At 35.2% G+C, this 23,919-nt stretch overlaps 2 annotated features.

Annotated features, from left to right (window-relative positions):
* Positions 3,498-3,667: an enhancer, noted in NCBI's record as "experimental_92293 CRE fragment used in MPRA reporter constructs". NCBI's record gives its function as "activates a minimal promoter by MPRAs in K562 erythroleukemia cells, with activity observed for the non-introgressed 6:55598708 variant allele {active_cell/tissue: K562}" and the evidence as "EXISTENCE:reporter gene assay evidence [ECO:0000049][PMID:34662402]".
* Positions 20,304-20,473: an enhancer, noted in NCBI's record as "experimental_92273 CRE fragment used in MPRA reporter constructs". NCBI's record gives its function as "activates a minimal promoter by MPRAs in K562 erythroleukemia cells, with activity observed for the non-introgressed 6:55581902 variant allele {active_cell/tissue: K562}" and the evidence as "EXISTENCE:reporter gene assay evidence [ECO:0000049][PMID:34662402]".

Raw genomic sequence — 23,919 nt, 5'->3', positions numbered from 1 at the left:
TGGTGGTGACAAAATCTCTCAGCATTTGCTTGTCTGTAAAGGATTTTATTTCTCCTTCACTTATGAAGCTTAGGTTGGCTGGATGTGAAATTCTGGGTTGAAAATTCTTTTCTTTAAGAACGTTGAATATTGGCCCCCACTCTCTTCTGGCTTGTAGAGTTTCTGCTGGGAGACCAGCTGTTAGTCTGATGGGCTTCCCTTTGTGGGTAACCTGACCTTTCTCTTTGGCTACCCTTACCATTTTTTCCTTCATTTCAACTTTGGTGAATCTGACGATTATGTGTCTTGGAGTTGCTCTTCTCGAGGAGTATCTTTGTGGCATTCTCTGTATTTCCTGAATCTGAATGTTGGCCTGCCTTGCTAGATTGGGGAAGTTCTCCTGGGTAATATCCTGCAGGGTGTTTTCCAACTTGGTTCCATTCTCCCCGTCACTTTCAGGTACACCAATCAGACATAGATTTGGTCTTTTCACTAGTCCCTTATTTCTTGGAGGCTTTGTTCATTTCTTTTTATTCTTTTTTTCTCTAAACTTCTCTTCCTGCTTCATTTCATTCATTTCATCTTCCATCACTGATACCCTTTCTTCCGGTTGATCGCATCGGCTACTGATGCTTGTGCATTCATCACGTAGTTCTCATGCTGTGGTTTTCAGCTCCATCAGGTCCTTTAGGGACTTCTCTGCATTGGTTATTCTAGTTAGCCATTCGTCTAATTTTTTTCAAGGTTTTTAACTTCTTTGCCATTGGTTCAAACTTACTACTTTAGCTTGGAGTAGTTTGATCTTCTGAAGCCTTCTTCTCTCAACTCATCAAAGTCATTCTCCATCCATCTTTGTTCTGTTGCTGGTGAGGAGCTGCATTCCTTTGGAGGAGGAGAGGCGCTCTGATTTTTAGAGTTTCCTGTTTTTCTGCTCTGTTTTTTCCCCATCTTTGTGGTTTTATCTACCTTTGGTCTTTGATGATGGTGATGTACAGATGGGTTTTTGGTGTGTATGTCCTTTCTGTTTGTTAGTTTTCCTTCTAACAGTCAGGACCCTCAGCTGCAGGTCTGTTGGAGTTTGCTGGAGGTCCACTCCAGACCCTGTTTGCCTGGGTATCAGCAGTGGTGGCTGCAGAACAGCAGATATTGGTGAACTGCAAATGCTGCTGCCTGATCGTTCCTCTGGAAGTTTTGTCTTAGAGGAGTACCTGGTCGTGTGAGATGTCAGTGTGCCCCTACTGGGGGGTGCCTCCCAGTTAGGCTGCTCAGGGGTCAGGGACCCACTTGAGGAGGCAGTCTGTCTTTTCTCAGATCTCAAGCTGCATGCTGGGAGAACCACTACTTTCTTCAAAGCTGTCAGACAGGGACATTTAAGTCTGCAGAGGTTACTGCTGCCTTTTGTTTGCCTATGCCCTGCCCCCAGAGGTGGAGCCTACAGAGGCAGGCAGGCCTCCTTGAGCTGTGGTGGGCTTCACGCAGTTTAAGCTTCCCGGCTGCTTTGTTTACCTACTCAAGCCTCGGCAATGGCAGGCACCCTTTCCCTAGCCTCTCTGCTGCCTTGAAGTTTGATCTCAGACTGCTCTGCTAGCAATGAGCGAGGCTCTGTGGATGTAGGACCCTCCGAGCCATGTGCGGGATATAATCTCCTGGTGTGCCATTTGTTAAGCCCTTTGGAAAAGCGCAGTATTAGGGTGGGAGTGACCTGATTTTCCAGGTGCCGTCTGTCACCCCTTTCTTTGACTAGGAAAGGGAATTCTCTGACCCCTTGTGCTTCCTGGGTGAGGCAATGCCTCGCCCTGCTTCAATTCATGCACGGTGCACTGCACCCACTGTCCTGCACCCACTGTCCGGCACTCCCCAGTGAGATGAACCTGGTACCCCAGTTGGAAATGCAGAAATCACCTGTATTCTGCATCGCTCACACTGGGAGCTGTAGACTGGAGCTGTTCCTATTCGGCCATCTTGGCTCCACCGACTGACACTTTGTTGATATAAGAAAGGCTCTCAATGTAAATATTACTATGCTCTCATTTCTCAGCAATGTTAGCTCTGGGCAAGCACAGAGATCAATGTATTTTACAGCTTATTTCTAGAATAAATATATGTTTATTTTTCCATAGGAATGAAACTCAAGATCTACTTTTAAGATGACAGTCCATATTACATTTATAATAAAAGAGGAAGAAACTAAAGTTAATTTTGCTGTTCATATCAAGTAAATTTCATTATGGTTGTCAAATCAGAAGTGATTATTATAATATTCTTTAAACCAACAACATTTACTTACAGTTGAAACTACTTTCACATTATCTCTTATTCTTTAATTTTGCAGAAAGTAAATGTATAGTCCTATATCATGTACTTTATCTTCCATGAGTACTTATGGCAATTAAGAACAACTAATGTGTTTCTGTTGAAAGTTCTCAAAATGTCACTTTGGGGGACCTAAAGATTAAATTATTTCCCAAAAATATTTTTAAAATTTCTTTTTAAGTAAATACTTAGTAAAGATCTTGGGGGAAAAAGGAGAGTTTATAATTTAATTACATGGTAGAAAAATCCTGAGACTTAGATATTGTCTCTTACTAGCTAATATATTTTGTTTTATAATTTGTGTACCTGTATACAACTATATATTCATATATACAGATATCTGTTTCTTACCTGTATAGTTGTATTATACAGTTATTTGACTGTTTGTTGGCTGTTTATGTTTTAAGTAACATAAGGTTATTTTTGACATGACTGATTATTTTTTGGGTGAGAGATATAAGATTAAAACTTCATTTACAAACTCAAAACACTTATAACTGGAAATTTTTCTGGAAGAGTATACTATAGTGAAAGAAATCCATTAGGAAAGTATTCACTTGGTGACATCCTTCAAGGGCTGGTCCTGGAAAATATGTAGAATAGAAAGACTATGTCCCTCTTTGTCTGCCCCTAGCCCTCTTGCTAAGATAATAATTTTTTCTTAGAACAGCATACCAATTCAGATTCCTTCCCTCTCAGGTAATTGGAAGTCTCATATTTCTTGCTAGTCCAGTTTAGGAATGTCTGCATGGGTCTCTGAGGCCAGAAATTCCTTTTGTCTCTTCTCTATTATCCTTAAAAAACCAAATACCATGTATCACTAGGTGTCATTCTTGATTGGTTCTGCTCTCAGTATGTTTATGTCTGGGAAGTTGTAAGGGTGAGATCATTAATTCAGTGTTTCATCTTACCTCAAGTAATAGATTTCAGTGTCAATAAAATGAAGACTAAATATGAAGTTACAAACTTCAGATACAAATTGAAACTGATACATTTGATAACAGGAAATTTGGAAACTATTCAGTGGAGAAGAGATTTTGTACAGTTGGGTAATATGGAGATACAAATGGGGTCAGTTACTGGACTTTTCTTGGCCAAGACTTGATCCTGAAGGATTTACTTTCTGTAATATTGAGTTTGAACCCCTAGCTATGTTCTTCCTTATAAAAGTCCAACCAATGGCATTGTGTCTGTAGCTCCATGGCAAAAACAACATTAGCTGCTACAAAAAACAAAACAAAACAAAAAAACCAACAAACTTCTGAAACAGGAGCAGCAATGATAAACTAATAAACTATTGATAATTGGCTAAAAGTTCTGTATGCCACATAAAACCAATGAAAAGTGAGTTAATAAGTGCCATAGGCCTGGCACAATGGCTCATGCCTGTAATCCCAGCACTTTGGGAGGCCTAGGCAGGCAGATCATCTGAGGTCAGGAGTTCGAGTCCAGCTTGGCCAACGTGGTGAAACCCCATCTCTACTAAAAAATACAAAAATTAGCCGGGCATGGTGGCATACGTCTGTAATCCTAGCTACTTGGGAGGCTGAAGCAGGAGAATTGCTTGAACCTGGGAGGCGGAGGTTGCAGTGAGCTGAGATCACGCCACTGCACTCCAGCCTGGGTGACAGAGTGAGACTCCCTGTGAAAACAAAAACAAAAACAAAAACAAAAACAAAAACAAATAAATGCCATAGCAGTTTTTTTTGTTAGCAGAGGAAGAATACTACAAATCCTTAAGAGAAGTATTTCAAAAGCAATAGAGAAAGACCTATAAAATATTGGTCATTGGATTATATTAATCGTTTCAATTAGTCTTGAATGTTGATGAGGATCTTTTAAAAATCATATATTAACATTTTAAAATTTTGACTGAAGTAATTTTGGCTTACGAAAAGGGTCAATCTAGTTGAATCATGATTGCTGTCTTCTAGATTTCAGCAACTAAATTGACAAACCAGAGACATAGAGCCAATTTATCAGCATTCTGTTAGGCTGCTAAAACTTCCATTTTACCACAAAATCTGTGGATACAATTTCAAACCTAGGAAAATTAAGCATAAATATCTTAAAGATTTAAATTTGAGTATCTTCGGGGGAAATTCTTACAAAGAAATATAACTTAATTACTCAATTACCATAAATAGATACAACTTGATTGTGTTATTTAATTATAATATAAGTTAGAATAGTTTCTAGGATAGCAAAATAGTTTTATTTTGTCAATGGAATCTTATTTTCAAACCAACAATTCCAAATCTAAGATTATATAAAGTGTCAATATGAAAATTAAATTTCAAGCTCATTTCTTATACCAATGAGAGTCTTGAATTCTCATTACACAATTGTCTGAATTTTATATTAATATGAGTAAAATGAAAGATAGGTGAAATAATAAACAGCTGGTTAAATGTTTATGTATTTAACTACCACATTGATCTGATTACTTTTTTTATGGTGAAGATGATATGTAATCTAGTTTCTCAAACAAAAACTGAAGGAAACATCTTTGTAAAATCAGGAAGAGTGTGTCGGTAGGAAGAAATCTGTGAGTTAGATTGGGCATTTTGTCGGTCCTAAATTTTCAAGATAACTATTTAATCAACCATAGCACCTGTTGAACCTGCTTATCTCTAATAATCTAATTGCAAGAATTACGTTATTATAAGACTTATAATGAAATCAAAGAACTCAAATAATATATTTAATATCTTATGTTTACAAAGATATATGTATATTTTATATTTAGGTTCTTATAAGTGTCCTACACTATGAGACTATAAGCTATCTGAAGGCAAAGATTGTTTGTGAATACGCACAGTACTATTTTTCTTTATTTCTAGCATCCGGACAGGTGCCAACATTTTATAGACATAATCAAATTATAAACGCATTAGTAGGCAAAAGGATGCATTAGTTAAATAACTTCATTTAGGTTGTTTCATTTATTAGGTTAAGGGCAGAGATTCAGACATCAAAATGGGTGTTATTGGAATTTTGCCTTGAGCTTAATACTTAGTATTTAAATGAGTATCTTTTTTTGTTAACTTTTCAAATCCAGAATTAATTATCCATCTCTTAGCCTTTGATTTTTTAATACCATTTATACTGTTTTCTGGCACCAGACTCACAATAGCCCAGATATTTTCCTCTCTAGGACACTGTATTACTCACGACCTTTGATTATATCTTTAATCAGGTGTCATCACTTCATGGTATAAGCTGTTTGATTCCCACCTTGGAAAAAGACTTTTGCTGCCTTCTACTTCATTTCATTTCTCTGAAGAATGATTTCCCACCCCACATTTTCTTTGTTGTTCATATTTTATGGTGCAAGGAATAGAAATGGATTGTATTTTAGTCAAGATAAAACTCTTTTGGATAGAAAACTGGAAAGTAGGGTTATAGAGAATCAGTTGGTTGCTGGAGATCTAGGCTTGGAAATGGACATTTAGAGATGCATCGCCTCTCTATGATTCTGAATATATAATAGCTGAGTATCTAAAAGGAAGATTAGGTGAAGAGAGGCCTAGCGAATAATGTCACTGCTCATTTCAGAGCTCTGAATCCCTTTTGACAATCGTGTGCTCTCCCAACTTCAGGTGGAGAGCCAGAAATACCTGGGAATTTAACTATAACCAGAAAATATATAGGTGTGTCAGTATTAAAGTCTGAACCCCTTGTCATCAGTGGGACAACTCTGAGGCAGTACTTACACCATAGGACTCTCGTGCGGGATCAGGTCAAAGATGTTCTCCCATGGACTTTGCCTGAGAAGTCCAAAATTAGTTCCTTTGGGCTAAAATCAAAGTGTTGATAGTGCTGGATTCCTTTTGAAGGTTCTCAGAAAGAATCACATCCTTGCCATCCTTGCCTTCCATCTTCTAGAAGCCATATGCTTTCTGTGTTGTGGCTCTTTGCTTCATCTTCAAGGCCAGCAACATAGTATCTTCAACTCTTTCTCAGTCTCTGATACTCCTGCTTCCTTCTTTCACTTTTAAGGGCCCTTGTGATTAAATTTGGGCTACCTGGCTAATCCAGGATTATCTCACTATCTCAAGATCTTTAATTTATTCACAGCTGTAAGGTACATTTTGCCATGTAAGGTAATGTATTTACAAGTTCCAGAGATTAGGACTTGGACGTCTTTTGGTGTGGCAGTTTTCTGCCTTTCAGACTTGGCATTTTTCCTCCTCCTCCCCCATCCTGCTCCCTGTATTCCCATACCATTTCCCTAGGAGCATTTGTCAATAAATCACTTGCAGAAGACATGCTCAAGATGTGCTACCAGGGAACATGATCTAATACAGGGGGGCTAACAATGAAAAAGTGACAAACATCTATGAAAGTTGGGATGTATGATTGATTCAGGGTAGCTTCTGGTTTCCATGTTTATTTCTCCTCTTGCACACTGTTTCATCAAAATGGTTAGGATCAGCATTTTAAAATACAATAATGGTGTTGGGAAACAGAAAAAAGTGCTACCAGTGGACCAGAAAGTTTTAACAAACCCTGGAAACCAAAAAGTAGGTGGAATGGGATTAATGGAGAAAACAGAGCAGAAGAATTCAAGCCAAGATTCCAGAAGTGAGAGCAATCAATCCTGATGGAGCCCATGAGAAATTCTAAACTCAATGACATCAACACAAAGAATAGGAGAGGGTCCTGGGAATCATCATGGAAATTAATTAATTAAACAACTGCTTTATTAATAGCTGGGCCTAGAGAGACCTTTTCCTTTCTCCTCCTCTGGAATATATGCAGATGATATGGCTGACAGCAGTAGTATTTGCCTCCAAGCTAGAACCTAACACTTGTCTGGAGAGGTATTCTAGAATGAGTTTTGGCCTGAGAGAGAAGTAGAGAAGGATGTGGTGGGGTCGGGGGAGGGGGGAGGGATAGCATTGGGAGATATACCTAATGCTAGATGACACATTAGTGGGTGCAGTGCACCAGCATGGCACATGTATACATATGTAACTAACCTGCACAATGTGCACATGTACCCTAAAACTTAGAGTATAATAATAAAAAAAAAAAATTCACACAGCTGTACAAACAAATAATGACTGAAAAAAAAAAAAAAAAAAAGAAATAGCTCCAGACATTTACTTCAGACACCAAGAAAATATCAAGTAAAAGAAGAAAACAAAAATTTCATCTAGTAGTGAAATACAGTAAAATACTTTATCTCCAGAGTAAAACTCTTCTTAATTTGATAATTGAAGGGATCTCTAGCCTACCTGCTCCATACCTAAGCACCCTACAGTGGTATTGATTTGTTGACATGACCCTGCTCTCTAAGAGAAATCAGTGGTTGGCCCTCTCATTTAAAGGAGAAGCTCTTGGGAAAATAGGTAAACACAACCAGAGAGAAAATTCTATGACTCAACTTTGTACATGTTGAGAACTAGGAGCTAAGATCAACACATATTTGGGGGAAGAAAAACCACAAAATAAAAGAAAGAAGAAAATATATCCATCAAATCCAGAGGAATCAAAAGTGATATATGGAATAATGAGAATTTTTCATATTTCTAATAGTTATATTCCAGGGCTTCCCAACGTTGCCACTGTTGACTTTCAGGGCCAGATAATTCTTTTTTACAGGGGGCTGTCCTAGGAATTAATTATTAGCTATTTAGTAGCTTTCGTGGCCTCAACCCACCAGATAACAGTAGCAACCCTCACAATTGTGACGAGCAAAAATGTCTCCAGATGTTGCCAAATATCTTGGGATTGGGGGGAATTCTCTTAAGAAACACAGGGTATTTTTACAGAGATTTGAGATATCAATAAATTAAAAACAACTTGTTCCTAAAAATAAACGATTAGATATCAAGACAAAAATGACAAATATTATCTCCAACAATGAGACAAAACAAATGAATAAACTAAATAATACAATGGGTTAGGCTAAAAAACCAAGCTAGTGATCTACAACATAAACACAAAGAACTCCCCAAATGCAAAGCTAAAGACAGATATTAAAGCATGAGAGAAAGTAAAAGAGAAATGATAGATCTTGGAGATCATTTTATAAAATATCCAGAAGCAGAGAAAAGAGATGGTAGAAATCAATCAAGTATACATATATATATATTTTTCCAAGCTGCCGTAAGACATAGTTCTTCAAATTGAAAGGACTCCCAATTGCCAAAAGGGATAGACTAAGAGATACCTACATCTAAATGCTTTTAGGTGAAAAATTAAAATCTACCGAAAAGAAAAAAATTTCCAACACCCATTAGAGATCAAGAAATAGCTTACATACAAAGAAATTAAGATCAATTAATGACTAATAGAGGACATGAGAAAAAATACAATGTCTTCAATTAAAAACATATTTTAAACTTAAATTTTCATATCAAGCCACTCTATCAAGAAAGCAAGAGTATAAAATAAAAACATTTAAAAGTATATAACCCAGAATATTTCCACTCATTTATTCCTAATAAAAAAGTTACATAAGAAAAGTAAATTCCTTAAGTAATTTAATTTCTAAAAAAATTTACTTAAAAAAAGTAAGGACAGTAAGGAAGAAAAATGGAAAATAAAAAAGGGCCATAAAAAGAGGAAGTCTTCAGGTACAAGAAGAATGATAGCTGATTACAACTATAAAAATATTAGCAGAGAATTTACCAGACCTTTGTGTTTGAGACATTCATTTTTGGGTTTCAGGAACTTAGTGACAAGCATGCATTTCCTCCCCTAGGTACTTAGTCTCATTTCTTTATTCTTTATTACGTTGCATTCATTAATATATAACCATAATAAACTAAATTCTATTTTTATTTTAAAATATTTAAAATCATTCAACAAATTAAAATTGAACTTCTGACAGAATGCTGAGTCAATAAAACTTAAGAATATAAAATACAGCTGTAGCTGTTCCAGTTACCTGTTGCTGACCCAAAGCCTGATAACTTAAAACAACAATAATCATGTTATTGTCTCTCATGTTTCTGGGTTGACCAGGTTCTGCTAGGTGTTCTCAAGCTGGGTCTCTCGTCATTACAGCCAGATGATGATGGGGACAATAATCATCTCCAAAGCTTTCTTGTGAGTCTGGTGCTGGATCTGGCTGTCAGGAGGAACCTCAACTAGGTCTATTGGCTAGAACACCTAAACATAGCCTATACTTGTGATCTGGGTTTCCTCAGAGCATGCTGGCTGTATTCCAAGAATAAGCATCCCCAGAGAACCAGGAGAAAGCTGGTTGTCTTATATGACCTACCCTTGGAAGTCAAGTAGCAACACCTCTACTGTTTTCACAAGTCTGTGAGAGTCAAGGTGAGGGAAAAAACATCCCACATCTTGATGAGTGGAAAGTCAGCATCATGCTGTAAGATGAGAGGTGGGAGATCTTAATGAGGCTATCTTGGAAAATACAATCTGCCACAGTCACCAATATGAAGTATGTGAGTAAGTGGAGAAATGCGGTTTTGGTAAATTTCTCATCTTTTATAGTAGCTAAGCAATAGGTACATTCTACATCAAAATAGAGAAGTAAAAGAATATTTTTGGAAGTCATAAGTCTAGCATTGGAAGATGTAATAATAGGCAAGATTTACCAGTCCTGAAGTTAGAGAATTTGGTAGTGGAGTTATTTTTTAAAAAAGCTCTGTGCCAGTATTACTCTGTAAGAATGTCATATGAACTTTTACTTAGATATATAATAGAATATATTAATAACAAATTATGTGAACTTTTATTAATATAATACAATTTTGTAAAACAAAGCCAAAAAGTATAAGTTCAAGTATTCAACAATTGAGGTTATTTATTTCATCTCAAAAAACATATATTCACTGGGCAGCAACTGATTACATGACATTATATTAAAGTCAAGTCAAGTGATTTTAGGTATAGACAGCTGGAAGTGAAAGTTAACATTTATTTGGCCTAATTTCTGAGTTTTTCAATGGGAGACTATCTAAGAGGAGTTACAAAACAGATGCCTGCTTTGCCAGCTTCACACAATTTTTTTGGTCATAAAACAATTGCAGGCAGAATTCTAAAGATGTCCCCACAAGAGTCCCATCCTGGGTTACTTAATCACACTCTAATGTAGATATTGTTGTTAAGATGGAATTCTGCTTGCTAGTCAGGTGACTTTAAAATAGAGAGATTATCATGGAATATCTGAGTACACCCGAAGCAATCACATCGATATGGTTTGGCTGTGTCCCCACCCAAATCTCATCTTGAATTGTAGCTTCCATAGTTTCTACATATAGTGGGAGGGACCAAGTGGGAGGTAGCTGAATCATGGGAGTGGGTCTGTCCCATGCTGTTCTCATGATAGTGAATAAGTCTCAGAAAATCTGATGGTTTTATAAAAAGGAGTTCTGCTGCACAAGCTCTCTTTCCTGCCACCGTGTAAGACGTGCCTTCCTCTTTCACCTTCTGCCATGATTGTGAGGCCTCCCCAGCCATGTGACACTCTGAGTCCATTAAACCTCTTTTTCTTCATAAATTACCCAGTCTCAACTATGTCTTTATTAGCATCATGAGAACAGACTAATACACACATGAACTCTTAAAAGCAGGAAATGAAAATAGCAGAGCCAGACAGAGATGCAGCAGAAAAGGAAGGCTGGAGACTTGAGGCAGGAGAGGAGACTGAACTGTGAAAAATGGAGGAAGAGGGGCACAAGCCAGAAAATGTGGGCAGCCACTAGTAACTGAGAACAACCGTCAGCCAACAATCAGCAAGACATAAGAACTTCAGTTCTACAACCACAAGGAAATGTATTCTGCCAACAACCTGAATGAATCTGGAAGCAGATTATTTCCTAGAGCCTCCTGGTAAAAGCCTATCCTGCTGGCACTTTGACTGCAGCCTTGTAAAACTCAGAGAAACCAGTTGGGCCAACTTAGACTTCTGATTTATGAACTTAGAGATAAGCATTTTGTGTTGTTTTAAGCCAGAGTTTGTGGTTATTTATTATGGCAACAATAGAAAACTTATACAAATACTAAAACCAAAATCAAGGTCTTCTGACACCTTGTTTTGTTCTCCTTTAAATGGACAAAAGCTAAAAGAGATTGTTTTCTTCTCTCAAATTGTTTATAAGTTAATTTGCTTGGGGAAAAAATGTGCCCTGAAAAGAAAATATCAAAGGCAATCCAAAGTGGCAGTCCTTTATTTGACAGATGTTCTATAGGCCACCCTCAATAAATTTCTTAACACCAGCCTCAGACAATAGTTTGCATATTAGATGACTGTTCAGAAGCCTTCCCTGCTTTGCAGCCATATAATTTTCCCTGCCAGTTTCTATGCCTCTACTTTCTGATATGTTTTCTGGACTCCTGATTTGGACTTATCTCTAAAGCTCACTAAACTCTGTTTCTAGCTCAATTCTTGATTCCTTAAACTTCTCTTATTTCAGTAGCCCCCACATCTTTTGGTAAACACTTGTTCTATCTGCCTATTCTCTGGAATTCACTGAATGACCCACTCCCCTTCCCAATTGTGACTATTTGGCCCAAGCACCAAGTTTGATTAAAACTTCATTTTTAGCAATTATGGCTGACATTCTTAAAAGCAAGAAAAGGCTAGATTATAGAATTAAATTTTAAGTCAATAGAATATTTCTCAGACAAGTTAACATTTTCCTTTGTGAAACTGGCATTTTTTAAACAAGGGTCACACTATATAGACTGCAGGTACTGCAGTATATATGCTTCAGTGCATTCTATTTTGGCATGATTTATAGTCATGTCTACATATTAGTACTGTGACTGTGCATGTAAATGTGTAGAAATGAATGTGTGATTTCAAGTCATCAGTCTTTCAAATTTAAAAATATAAAACTAATTTGTTTGACTTAAGCAAAAATATGTAAATTGTTGAAAATTCACACAATGACAGTGCTGTATATATAGAAATAGGAAGCAGCTATGGATTTTATTGAAAACCAGAGTAAGCGCCATTAATAAATACTTCAAAAAAGCTAACAAACTCAAGTATTAAAATAAACATGCAAGACTCCACTATGTATGGAAAGAACGTTGCATCTTCCAGCTTTTATAAACAACTTCATCCCTTCCTCTCACTACTCATAAGCTTTTCTTTGTTAAATATCCTTCTCAGTTCCAGTCTATATTTATATTAATAATACGTATGTGTTATTAATAACATTTGCACAGGAAAGAGAACTCCATGCAAAGAAGTTTCTAAAAAGCAAAAGTATGTGTTCCAAAAGTCTGTACAAAGTTAGTTTTCTCTTTCTTGTCCCATCTTTCTTTTTTTCTCCTTCTTTTTCTTCTATGACAGAAAATCCCTTAGAGATATTTGGTTCAAGGGTAAAAATTAGCCCAGTACTTTCTCCTAAATCTTGGTGATTTCACAGTCTTTCATATGGTACACGTGTACTGACTTTAGACAATTTAATCATGTAAAAGGGTAGAAAATGTTATGCTTCCTCATTATTAAGATACATTCCCCTTAATTCTGATGCTTCTTTGGAAGAAAGTAGACTTTTATCCTTTGACCTCTTCTCCAAAAGAACACAATAATATATATAGGATATTGAAAATTACTTCCTTCTTTCATTAGTGTTGAAGATTTCTACAAATGTAAAGAGTAAGAGTTTGCAGAATGTATATTAATACACTAGGACTGGATCCCAATCAGCAGTATAAAGAGCTTCAAAGCCTTATGGGTCAGATTCTTGTGTTTTTATGTTTATTCCAGCCCTTTTGCCTTGTAAATCACATGTTTGAGATTGAATAAAACAAGTCATTTTTTTCCATGTGAAAAAACATTCATCAAATAGCATTTTCTGATACTAAAAAAAAAAGCGAAACACTATGCTGGTTTACTATCCACACAGATATTCTAAAACTAATCTTTCAGTGGTATTAACTCATTTTAGTTATATAGGTAACTAATACTTTTTGAAAGAATGAATAAAGATGATCTAAATTTGCAATTTTTTCTTTTCTTTTTTTTTTTTTTTGAGATGGAGTCTCGCTCTGTTGCCCAGGCTGGAGTGCAGTGGCGCGATCTGGGCTCACTTAAAGCTCCGCCTCCGGGGTTCACGCCATTCTCCTGCCTCAGCCTCCTGAGTAGCTGGGACTACAGGTGCCATCCACCACACCCGGCTAATTTTTTTTTTTTTTTTTGTATTTTTAGTAGAGACGGGGTTTCACCGTGTTAGCCAGGATGGTCTTGATCTCCTGACCTCGTGATCTGCCCGACTCAGCCTCCCAAAGTGCTGGGATTACAGGCATGAGCCACCGCGCAGGCCTATATTTGCAATTTTTAGCATTTCAATTGTCTAAAAGATATTTCTTTTAAATAGTCTCTTTTAGTTAATAAAATATGTAATCCTAAGAGTATCTCAAACGTTTAACATGTTCATTACTAAATTCATTTAGAAGCACTCCTACCATGGCAGCTATTTGAAGGAATGAAACTGATATTTAAATGTCAATTTTTATTTTGGAATCAATCTTATCGACTAAAATTACTTTCATATGCTCAATAAAGTCCTTTTGCGAAACTTCAGCAGTAACAATTTATACCATTTAAGAATTTCTTTAAGAAGAATAGACTAAGAATTAAAATCTAAATTTGAAGAATAAAATTGGTGATCAAATTCATAATGCTCTTTGATGCCCAAAATTAATAGATGAGAATGATTTCCTTTTGTGATTGGTGAACTTTCCTCAGAGATATTTAACATCATGGTTTTAAATATGGCAATTCTGATGGCTAACACTATGGAGGGCAGCATAAATTTGTTGTGCTGAATTTATGAGTTCTGTTGATTTAGTTAATTTAAAGCTTAATTTTTTCATTTTCATATGATAGTCATTCTTAGACAAAGTCATATCTTTCTCCTTTAAAAATGTACATGGAATAAAATTTATCTCTCAATTTACAACATATGTTTTTAATATAAACAAAAGACACGGTTCTACATGGATAAATAATTTAACTATTTAGAATTCATTTCCTTTCCTTTAGCTGCAGCATGGCCCCCTGAATAACATAAGTATAATTATAGTTCTCCCCCTTAATTACTTTCTCTGCATGCACATTGAACAATATAAATGTTGAAATGTAGCATTTTTGCATTTCCCAGAGTATTATTACATAGAAAAACCACTTCCACAGGACATTAATGTGTGTTCCAGGAAAAAAAAAAAGAGATTTGCAATATTTATTTGAAAAATACTGAATTAAGAAATTTAAACAGGTTTATTTATGGTAGGAATTCTGACTATTGTGCATTTTTGATTTTCAGAAGGGAAGTGTAATATTTATTACGTACCAAACAAGATTATTTGACAATGGAACTCTTTTACCTAGAGACTATCAAGATAGTACTGTTCTTCTGAATTTTTTTTATGAAACACTGACTTAAGGAATGCTGAAGGTATGCCTATTTTATTTATTCAGAAATAATTCTTGAATCATCTCTTACAAGTTTAAATAAGACAAAGTCTGTCCTCAAATAATTTGCAATTCATAAATGAATTCAAACGCAAATGACAACAACTGGCTACGTACAATTACAATTCATTATGGTAAAAGTAATAAGAATAATTAAAAATCTAATGAAACATACAAGAAGGAGGGAGAAAAGCAAAGAAAAAAAGACTGAATCTGGCTGAGGAAAAGGGGAAAATTCCTCCAGTAGTTGGTGCATCTGCTGACTGACTTTCTTTTTTTTTTTCTTTTTTGACAGAGTCTCAATCTGCTGCCCAGGCTGGAGTGCAGTGGCGCTATCTCAGCAACCTCCGCCTCCCAGCTCCCAGGTTCAAGTGATTCTCCTGCCTCAGCCTCCCGAGCAGCTGGGATCACAGACGTGCATCGCCATGTTCAGCTAATTTTTGTATTTTTAGTAGAGACAGTGTTTCATCATGTTGGCCAGGCTGGTCTCGAACTCCCGACCTCAGGTGATCCACCCACCTCAGCCTCCTAAAGTGCTGGGATTACAGGTGTGAGCCACTGCCGCTGACTTTCAAAGTATTTTCCAGAAGAAATAGGGAAGACATTTCACATGGGGAAATATAAAATGTTTTTGTAATGTTTGGAACTACAAAGGACCTAAAATCATAGTTATACAGTTCATGTATTAGAAATTATTCATCCTTCTGAATCATGTCCTGCTTGTTTAGAAATTCAATCACTCTTATAGTCTATATAACATACTATTTAACTACTGGTACGTTGAATATTGAAAAACCAGAAAACACTTGCAAACTCTATGCAACTCATGCTGAAGAATGAAACAAACTATATTAATATTTAAAACAATTACGTTGCAAAGTTGATACCTGTAAAAGAATACAGATTTGTATGGCAAAGGACTTGGAATTTTAATACATGTTTAATCTGATGGCTAATCTGGTCCTCTGGCCGCATGTCTATGGTGAACGGCAAGAAACCCAAATTTAATATTTCATTTGCCGAAAGATTTTTAGACCATTGGTCTCCAAACTTTTTAGAATCATGCACTCTTATCACTATAGTTTTGTAGCATGAACATACAATATGCATATATTTATTCATATATAAATTACATGCATAAACCACTGGAATGGCAGAAAATTATTGTTCATTATGCATACCCTAAATATACATTTAAAAGGTGAGCTAAACTGTTAGCTTTGAAATACGATTTTGAAATAAATTGATAAAATTGAAATCAGTATTTTTGAAATATAATATTTAAGGAATTTTTAATTTTTCTATTAATGGTAGAAACCATTTTAAATACCAACATTGTAGTAAGTGCAACATAACTAAATTTGCTTCATGAATTTTAGAATATTTGTTTAGTAATGTATGATACACCAATTTAAACATATCTTATGTTTATTTTCTTTTAACTTCATTCAGAGGGAGTATTTTATGATTTTGAGGGTGTTTTTGGCTTTCAAGCTTGGTTTTGCTGCCATTATAACTAGAAAATTCACAATGATACATAGATCAAAAATTTTTGCAATTTGGCTAGAAAATTTTCGTCTTCCTTGATTTCAATTGATTTTTCCTGAATATTCTTTTGAAGTTGTACCATTTTATTTTTATTTTCTATATCCATAGGTTATTGGGGAACAGGTGGTATTGGTTACATGAGTAAATTCTTTAGTGGTGATTTGTGAGATTTTGGTGCACCTATCACCGGGAAGTTGTATTATTTTAATAATGTTAATAAACTTGTTTAAAACCCATTGAAAATTTTCATTTGGAATGTTTGAAAAGTAGTTAACAATACTCTTTTCTCAAATTAATTTTATGTGTACACATAATTTTCATAGGTGAGGCACATTATTTTTTACCACAAATCTTGTAATGATAAAAATTTTCTAAAAGAATTTGAAAAATTCTCTCTTATGTCCTTTTTACAAACACTATTTTTACTTTGAAGGTTACATAAAATGTGTTTCTCACTCCCCATCCCCAAATATGTCTTTGGCAACATATAAATGTTGGTCAGTCATCTTTTGCAGAAAAGGGCAGCACATTTGAAACATTTGTCTTTTTGTAAAAGAAATATCCATAACTCATATTCTTTCCCTCCCTGAGGGCAATAATAATTTTTGTAATTGTAAAATAAGCCACATATGCAAAAGTGAATGAAAATTTACAAGTATAATTTTAAAACAATAAAAAATGTGTATATCCATATGGCCACTACCAAGTTAATAAATAAAACCTTGTACTCTAAAAGCTCCTTATCTATGACTTTACTTGCCCACTTCCAGTGCCTCCTCCTGCAACCAGTTAACCATAATATTGAATTTACTGGCTTTCCTCACAGATTTTATACATACATATATGTAGAAAATCATAAACAGTAGCTTATTTGGCTTTGAACTTTATATAAATAGAATCATACCATATATTTATTCGTGACTTCTTTTGCCCAATAGTACATCTCCATGATTTTAATGTACTGATGCCTATGATTCTCATTAACCCATTTTCACTATCAAATCATACTCCACTGTATAAATACACCACCACTTATTTGTCTATTTCTACTGCTGATGGACTTTAGGATTGTTCAAAAGTATTTTGTTTGGTTGGCCGGATGTTGTTTGTTTTGTTATTATTAACAAGGTTGTTATGAACTTTATTATGCATACCTTTGGGAAAACGTGTAAAAGCTTCTAACACCTAACTCTTGAGAAGTAGGCTTTCTTGGATACATGCTACATGCATGTTCAACCTTACTGTGTGATACATACCATATTCCAAATATGTTGCCCACTTTTTTACTTATGCCAGCAATAGTAAAATGATTCTTGTTGTTTCACGTTCTCATGGGCACATGGTATTGACAAATTGTGGATATGAAAGGGTATTTCATTTTGGTTTTAATTCTCATTTTCCTAATTACTACTAGGATTGGACATCTTTTAAGATTAGAGCCATTTTTGTATCCTACTCTGTTAAATTTCTATTAATTCCTTTTATGTAAAATGGTGGTAGCAGGGTATTTTATGCTTTCTTACTGATCTGTAGAAGTTAAATGTACATTCAGAATATGCCGGTGGCTCACGCCTGTAATCCCAGCACTTTGGGAGGCCGAGGCGGGCGGATCACGAGGTCAGGAGATCGAGACCACGGTGAAACCCCGTCTCTACTAAAAATACAAAAAATTAGCCGGGCGCAGTGGCGGGCGCCTGTAGTCCCAGCTACTCGGGAGGCTGAGGCAGGAGAATGGCGTGAACCCGGGAGGCGGAGCTTGCAGTGAGCGGAGATCGCGCCACAGCACTCCTGCCTGGGCGACAGAACGAGACTCCGTCTCAAAAAAAAAAAAAAAAGAATATGCAATATGAGTTAGAAATATATGTTCTTGAATTGTTGCTTACTTTTATATACTTTTTATGGTATTTTTGATGAGTATACCTTCTTAATTTTTCACATAGTAAAATGTATTATAGTATTTTATGCTTTTTAAAATTCTTTTTTGGGTCAAGTTTTATATTCAACAACTTCTTTAAATATTTTGTCATGCAGTAACTGGTGAATCTATGTGGGATACACAAAATTTTTCATGATCGTTTTCCATTTCATATCAGAGTTATAAAGATTCTGTTACTTATAATAATAAGAGCCCAAAATTCACATAAGCAAACAATGGCGTTCAATCTGTGGCAATATGCTGAAAACAAATGAGTGATCATGTGGCACTCACTCTCCCCAGGACTTACTATAATGCTAGATACAAGGGATATCAGTGTGAATGCATATATTTTATAATGTAAAAAAAAATTTTTTAAATTTGGGTCAAAATATAAATATAGCGTCGGTTTATTCCTGTGCGTTGTTGTGGATGGTCTTCTGCATCCTTTTGGATTCATGCACCTCATTTGGAGACCACCATTCAAGACAAGCTGTCTTAAAACCGAGGCACTCAGACCTTTGGGTCTGGACTTAAGCAGACCCAGAATTTTTAAAGGAATCGGGATCCATATCCTCAACTTCCATCTGTACTAGTGTAAAACTGATCTACCTGGAGAACATAGTTTTCTGTTACTCCTTTCCAGTTACCCCTTTCACTGTTGTCGTTTCTTTACCCAAGTTGTGAAATAAACACATCTCACTCACCCATCCTGATTCTTACTTTTTTAAGGGTAAAAACCCCCCATCCAGGCACAAAACTGAGGGACACTTATTCTTAGGGTAACTAAAAAGATCATTACTCTTATGACTGTATAATAAAACTTTTTGCAATTCACACAACTTGTTTTCATGCAACAAAATTAGAAATAATTTAAATAAGATATAATCTGGTATATTATTTAAAATGTTTTTGGCCGGGCACAGTGGCTCACACTTGTCATCTCAGCACTTTGGGAGGCCAAGGTGGAAGGATCACTTGAGCTCAGGAGTGCAAGATAAGCTGGTCAACAAAGTGAGACTTCATCTCTTAAAAAAAAAAAATAGAAAAATTATCTGCGCTTGATTCCAGCTACATGGGAGGCTGAGGCAGGAGGATTGCTTGAGCCCAGGAGGCCAAGGCTGCGGTGAGTCATAATTGCACCACTGCACTCCAGTCTGGGTGACACATACGTGCACGCACTCATACACACACATATATGTATTTAAGGTAAGTTTTATTGTAACTTTAATATAAAACTTTGAAGGGGTATTAAAAAAATTAAGTGATAAATCCAGAGATAGACTTCTTTTTTTCTATGTAACTATTTATAGGTAACTGAAGTTCATACAATTTATATTCCCAATGTGAAAACTAACTATATAATTTATGTTGAGTCCTGTCTCATTCCAGCGATGGAAATATTCATCTACGTATACACCAACTAATTTTAGAATCACACCAATTTTCACACACACACTTTCAAATACATTTTATTTTTATGTTTAATATATTAAACATATTTATTCAATAATAATCTGAATAACTGAACCTTGAAAAATTTTACAGTTAGAGTTACAGAAAATAATGTTATTTAATTCCAAATATATATATATCCTTTTGTTATAGTTATGACAAGATGTTCCATATGTAACCTATTTAGGTAAGATTATAAAATATGAATAATATTTTTTGGTAGAACTAGATTGGAAGTATAATTTCAAAATAAGTAATGCAAAATTTCTGATTATCTTCTCATATATTTTTAAAATTTATAATGATAGGTACCAAATAGCTATGATATTTACATTTGAATAGTTTTAATTGAACAAATGATTTAACAATTTAGTTTTAAAATGTCAGTATTTGCAAGCTCCAATTATAACCTCCTTTGCAACCAGAAAAACTACTGATAAAAAGATGCTAATTTTATAATATGCAAGGATTTTTTCAAATATTTTATAGGCTATGGAGAAAAAATGCTGCAGCACAATATTTAAGTGAGTCAACAATCTGTGCTAGAAATTGATCAATATTATTAGTGATGGTAGCATAAGGTGTTTAAAAACACCTCTGTTTTTAGGATGCTTATGGTAAATAAGGAACTGAGTTATTGAAATAAAATAAAAAGCTGCCTTAATCAATATTTAATACATCCTTTCTTTTGATTCAAAGAAAATTAGAAATTTTGACTCCATCTCACAAAACTCTACATTTTCCTAGATAAAGAGTTAAATGTTGTTATCAGTGCTCATTAAAGGAAAATGTTTATAATCTTCACTCATCAAAATCCTGGCAACTGTTTTTTTTTTTCCACTATCCTTCCACGATTTCTTTTTAATATCTAAGCTTTTCTTGGATATGCCAATTGACAGTTTTATACTGGTATGTATTTAATTTATTAATTTTTTTTATTCTTCACTAGTTTGACAGATATGTATTATACTAAGCACATTATTTCATCTACTCATCAACTATCCCCAAATATTCTGAAAAATGTACCTCCCAGATCCAATTCCACCTCTATTTCAAAAGGCTTCCTCAAATCTGACAATTTTATAACCTGGTAAATTTTTCCCTGGTTACGGTTGGTTGATACCAAGGAAGAACCAAAACTAAGCTACTTGTACATTAGTCTCATGGATTGATCTAAAGATGAGCCTTATCAAAGTTTATCCATCCTGAGCTCTTCTCTCTGCATTTGGATCCCAGAGAGTATAACCATTCTCTTCATTGTGTGAATCTGTAAGAAGTTAAGCTCTGGATGTATTGGCAGCCATGTTTTCCTTCATGTGGGCCATTGCAGCTAAGGCCTTCCATTGACAGAGAAAAGAAGAATGAAGCAGAGATTAAAGAAACAAAGTTATGATACACGGTAAATATGAATGAACCTTGAATACTTTAGGTTAAGTGAGAAAAGTCAGATACAAATGGCTATATATGATTCCATTTATATGAAATATCCAGAATAGGTAAATCCAAAGAGACAGAAAGTAGATTAGCAGATGCCTAGTGCTGGAGGGAGGGAGAATGGGGAGTGATTGCTAATAGGTATGAAGTTTTTTGGGGAGTGATGAAAGTGTTCTGAAATTATTGGTGATGGTTGCACAAGTTTGAGAATTTGCTAAAAAGTCACTGAATTAAACACTTTAAAAAGGTCAACCTTATGATATATAATTGTATCTCAAGAAAACTCTTATTTTAAAAAAATGAATGGAAGACGTACTGGAGCAGGAGGGAAGAAGAGTGGGAAGTCTGATAAACACGTGGCTTGTTTTAGATGTGCTTACAGCTTAGCTCTCCTCTTATTCACGACAGATCAGGATTGTACCGTAAATTTTTCATAAAATAGAGTTGACTTCCTTTCTTTCCTATGATAGAGTCAGACTCGTATCGCTTTTATTACCTTAGTTTTACATATGAGAAATTGCAGGCTCAGGCAATTTAGTTAACTGGTCTAAAATAAAAGGGAATATATTTCACTTCAGGGGTGTCCAATCTTTTGGCTTTTTTGGGCCACACGGGAAGAAGAATTGTCATGGGCCACACATGAAGTACACTAACACTAACCATTGCTGATGAGCTAAAAAAAAAAAAAAAAATTCAAAATCTCAATGTTTTAAGAAAGTTTACAAATTTGTGTTGGGCCACATTCAAAGATGTCCTGGTTTGCATGTGGCCCACGGGCCATGGCTTGAACAAGTTTGCTCTATATCTTTATTTCAATGTATTTCTACTCTCTTCTATACAATTTAAATCTATAGCAAGCCCACCTTTTTCACCTGTAATATCGCCTATTTTATTTAATTGTTCTTCCCACTTTCCAATGTTGGTTATGCTGTTCTTAGGGTAGGATTTTACCTTCTCATACTTTTTTTTCTGCTTGTGCGTTCATCAGTAATCCTGTATTTACATTCTACTTAAACAGTGCATTTTCTTGGAAACACTTCTTAAAGCACAGATCCACAGCAGGAGCAATTTTATTCAGTAATCAGAATAAAGTTATTGACTTTAGGAAGATAAATTAAAATACTATTTAATGATTCTTTAAAGTGCTATTAATTTCTTTGGGAACTTATTGCTTAGCTTTGAGAATGTCAATCATGAGCTAATTTCAAGTGAGGTAAGGCCTCTGAATGGCGATTTCTCAAGTGAGCAAGAAAGGGGCTCAACTCTGTCAACCAACTAGAATAAAAACAATGGATTTCCTGAAATGCTGCAAATTTATTTAGTCTGTGTCTGTGTAATACCCGAGTAAAATCAGCTCTTTCAAATCATATGATCCAGGAGCCAAACTCAATAAAATGTAAAAATCAGCCCCCAGGGGTGTGAAATCTAACCTGAAATTTCCCTTTTCGTCATGGGTTTAACAATAGCCTAAAGAGATGAGCAGAAAACAGTTTGGCTGGATTATATATTTCTTTTTCAAAACAAGAGGAGTCTGTGATTTTTTAAATGTTAGAATAGGCCTGATTCTATCTATTTTTCTTTCCTATTCGTTAACTTTTATTAAAGAGAGAGTTCTAGCTTTTCCATGCTGTCAATGCTCTTTAGGGGAAAAGATTCAAAATACGCTTAGAAACACCAAATCATCTTTAAAATAAAATTGGTGCTGCTAACCATAGCCTACAAGGCCCAGTGAAAATCAGTGCCTGCCAAATTTTCCTGAGCTAATTTGCTCATTATGCTGGTTTTCTCTTTCTTCCTTGAGTATATCCAGCTCATTCCTATCCAGGACCCTTGCACTTGCTGCTCATTCTGCCTAGACGGTTTTTAATGCTAGGCCTTCCCATGAATGGTTCTTTCATATCATTAAGGCATATCTGAAGACACTAATCTCAGAGAGGTCTTCCAATCCCACCAATCAGGTACCTTATCTAAAACAGGCTGCTGCCACCCTCATCTCTCTCATTGGTCACATGGCTCTGTTTCATTGTCTTTCTAGCATCAATTACAACTTGAAATTAACTTTATTTACTTGTTTAGTGTCTGTTTTATTCTCAGTCGAATTTGAGAGTCCACATCTGATCCTGTAAATCATAGTCTGTCTTGTGAACATGGTATCCCCAATGCCTAGAACATAATACTGGTCTTGTGCCTGGGACTTATTATTCTAAAAAATATTTATTGAATGAAAAAATGAATAATCTTCCTTCAACAAATGACATTTAAAGGTATCAATCATAAATATGAAATTTCACATGAGATAAGGAATTAATGTGATTTATTGTTCCTAAAAATATTAATAACATTGACAGGTAAGAAGTGAAAGAAGAAAAGTAAATTTAACAAAAAGTAACGTGAATTAACATGTTTTAAAATCTATTTTCATTTTTCCATAGTAACAGTCTTTGTTTTCTTCTTGCTTAAACTTTTGGCATGTTCTCTGTATATTATCCTTATCCTAGACCAATTATTGAAAATCTATATTAAAATAATATGTGTGTCTGTGTATGTGCACAGTTTTTAGCCCTCAGTTTCTAATAATACAACTGTTTGATTTGGACAGATGGGAGATTTCCTCTTTGCATGTTGGCCACATTCAGCCCTGATTTGTTATTGTTTAAAATTCTGAGAATGTTTTACACACGTTTACAAAGAAAAACATTTGGCCTCTGATAAACGAATGACAAGCATGATATAAACGCTTGGAGATGATCCTTTCAGATCTGTGCAAAGAGACCTGCACATCTGTCTCCAGCTGTGCAGCTACTCAGAACAGAAATGACTAATCCTGGTTTGGCCAATGCCAGTAATTATTTTTACTGTTGATCTG

Source organism: Homo sapiens, chromosome 6 (assembly GCF_000001405.40).
Source record: "Homo sapiens chromosome 6, GRCh38.p14 Primary Assembly".
NCBI classification, from domain to species: domain Eukaryota; kingdom Metazoa; phylum Chordata; class Mammalia; order Primates; family Hominidae; genus Homo; species Homo sapiens.
This window is presented reverse-complemented; position numbering and strand designations above follow the sequence as displayed.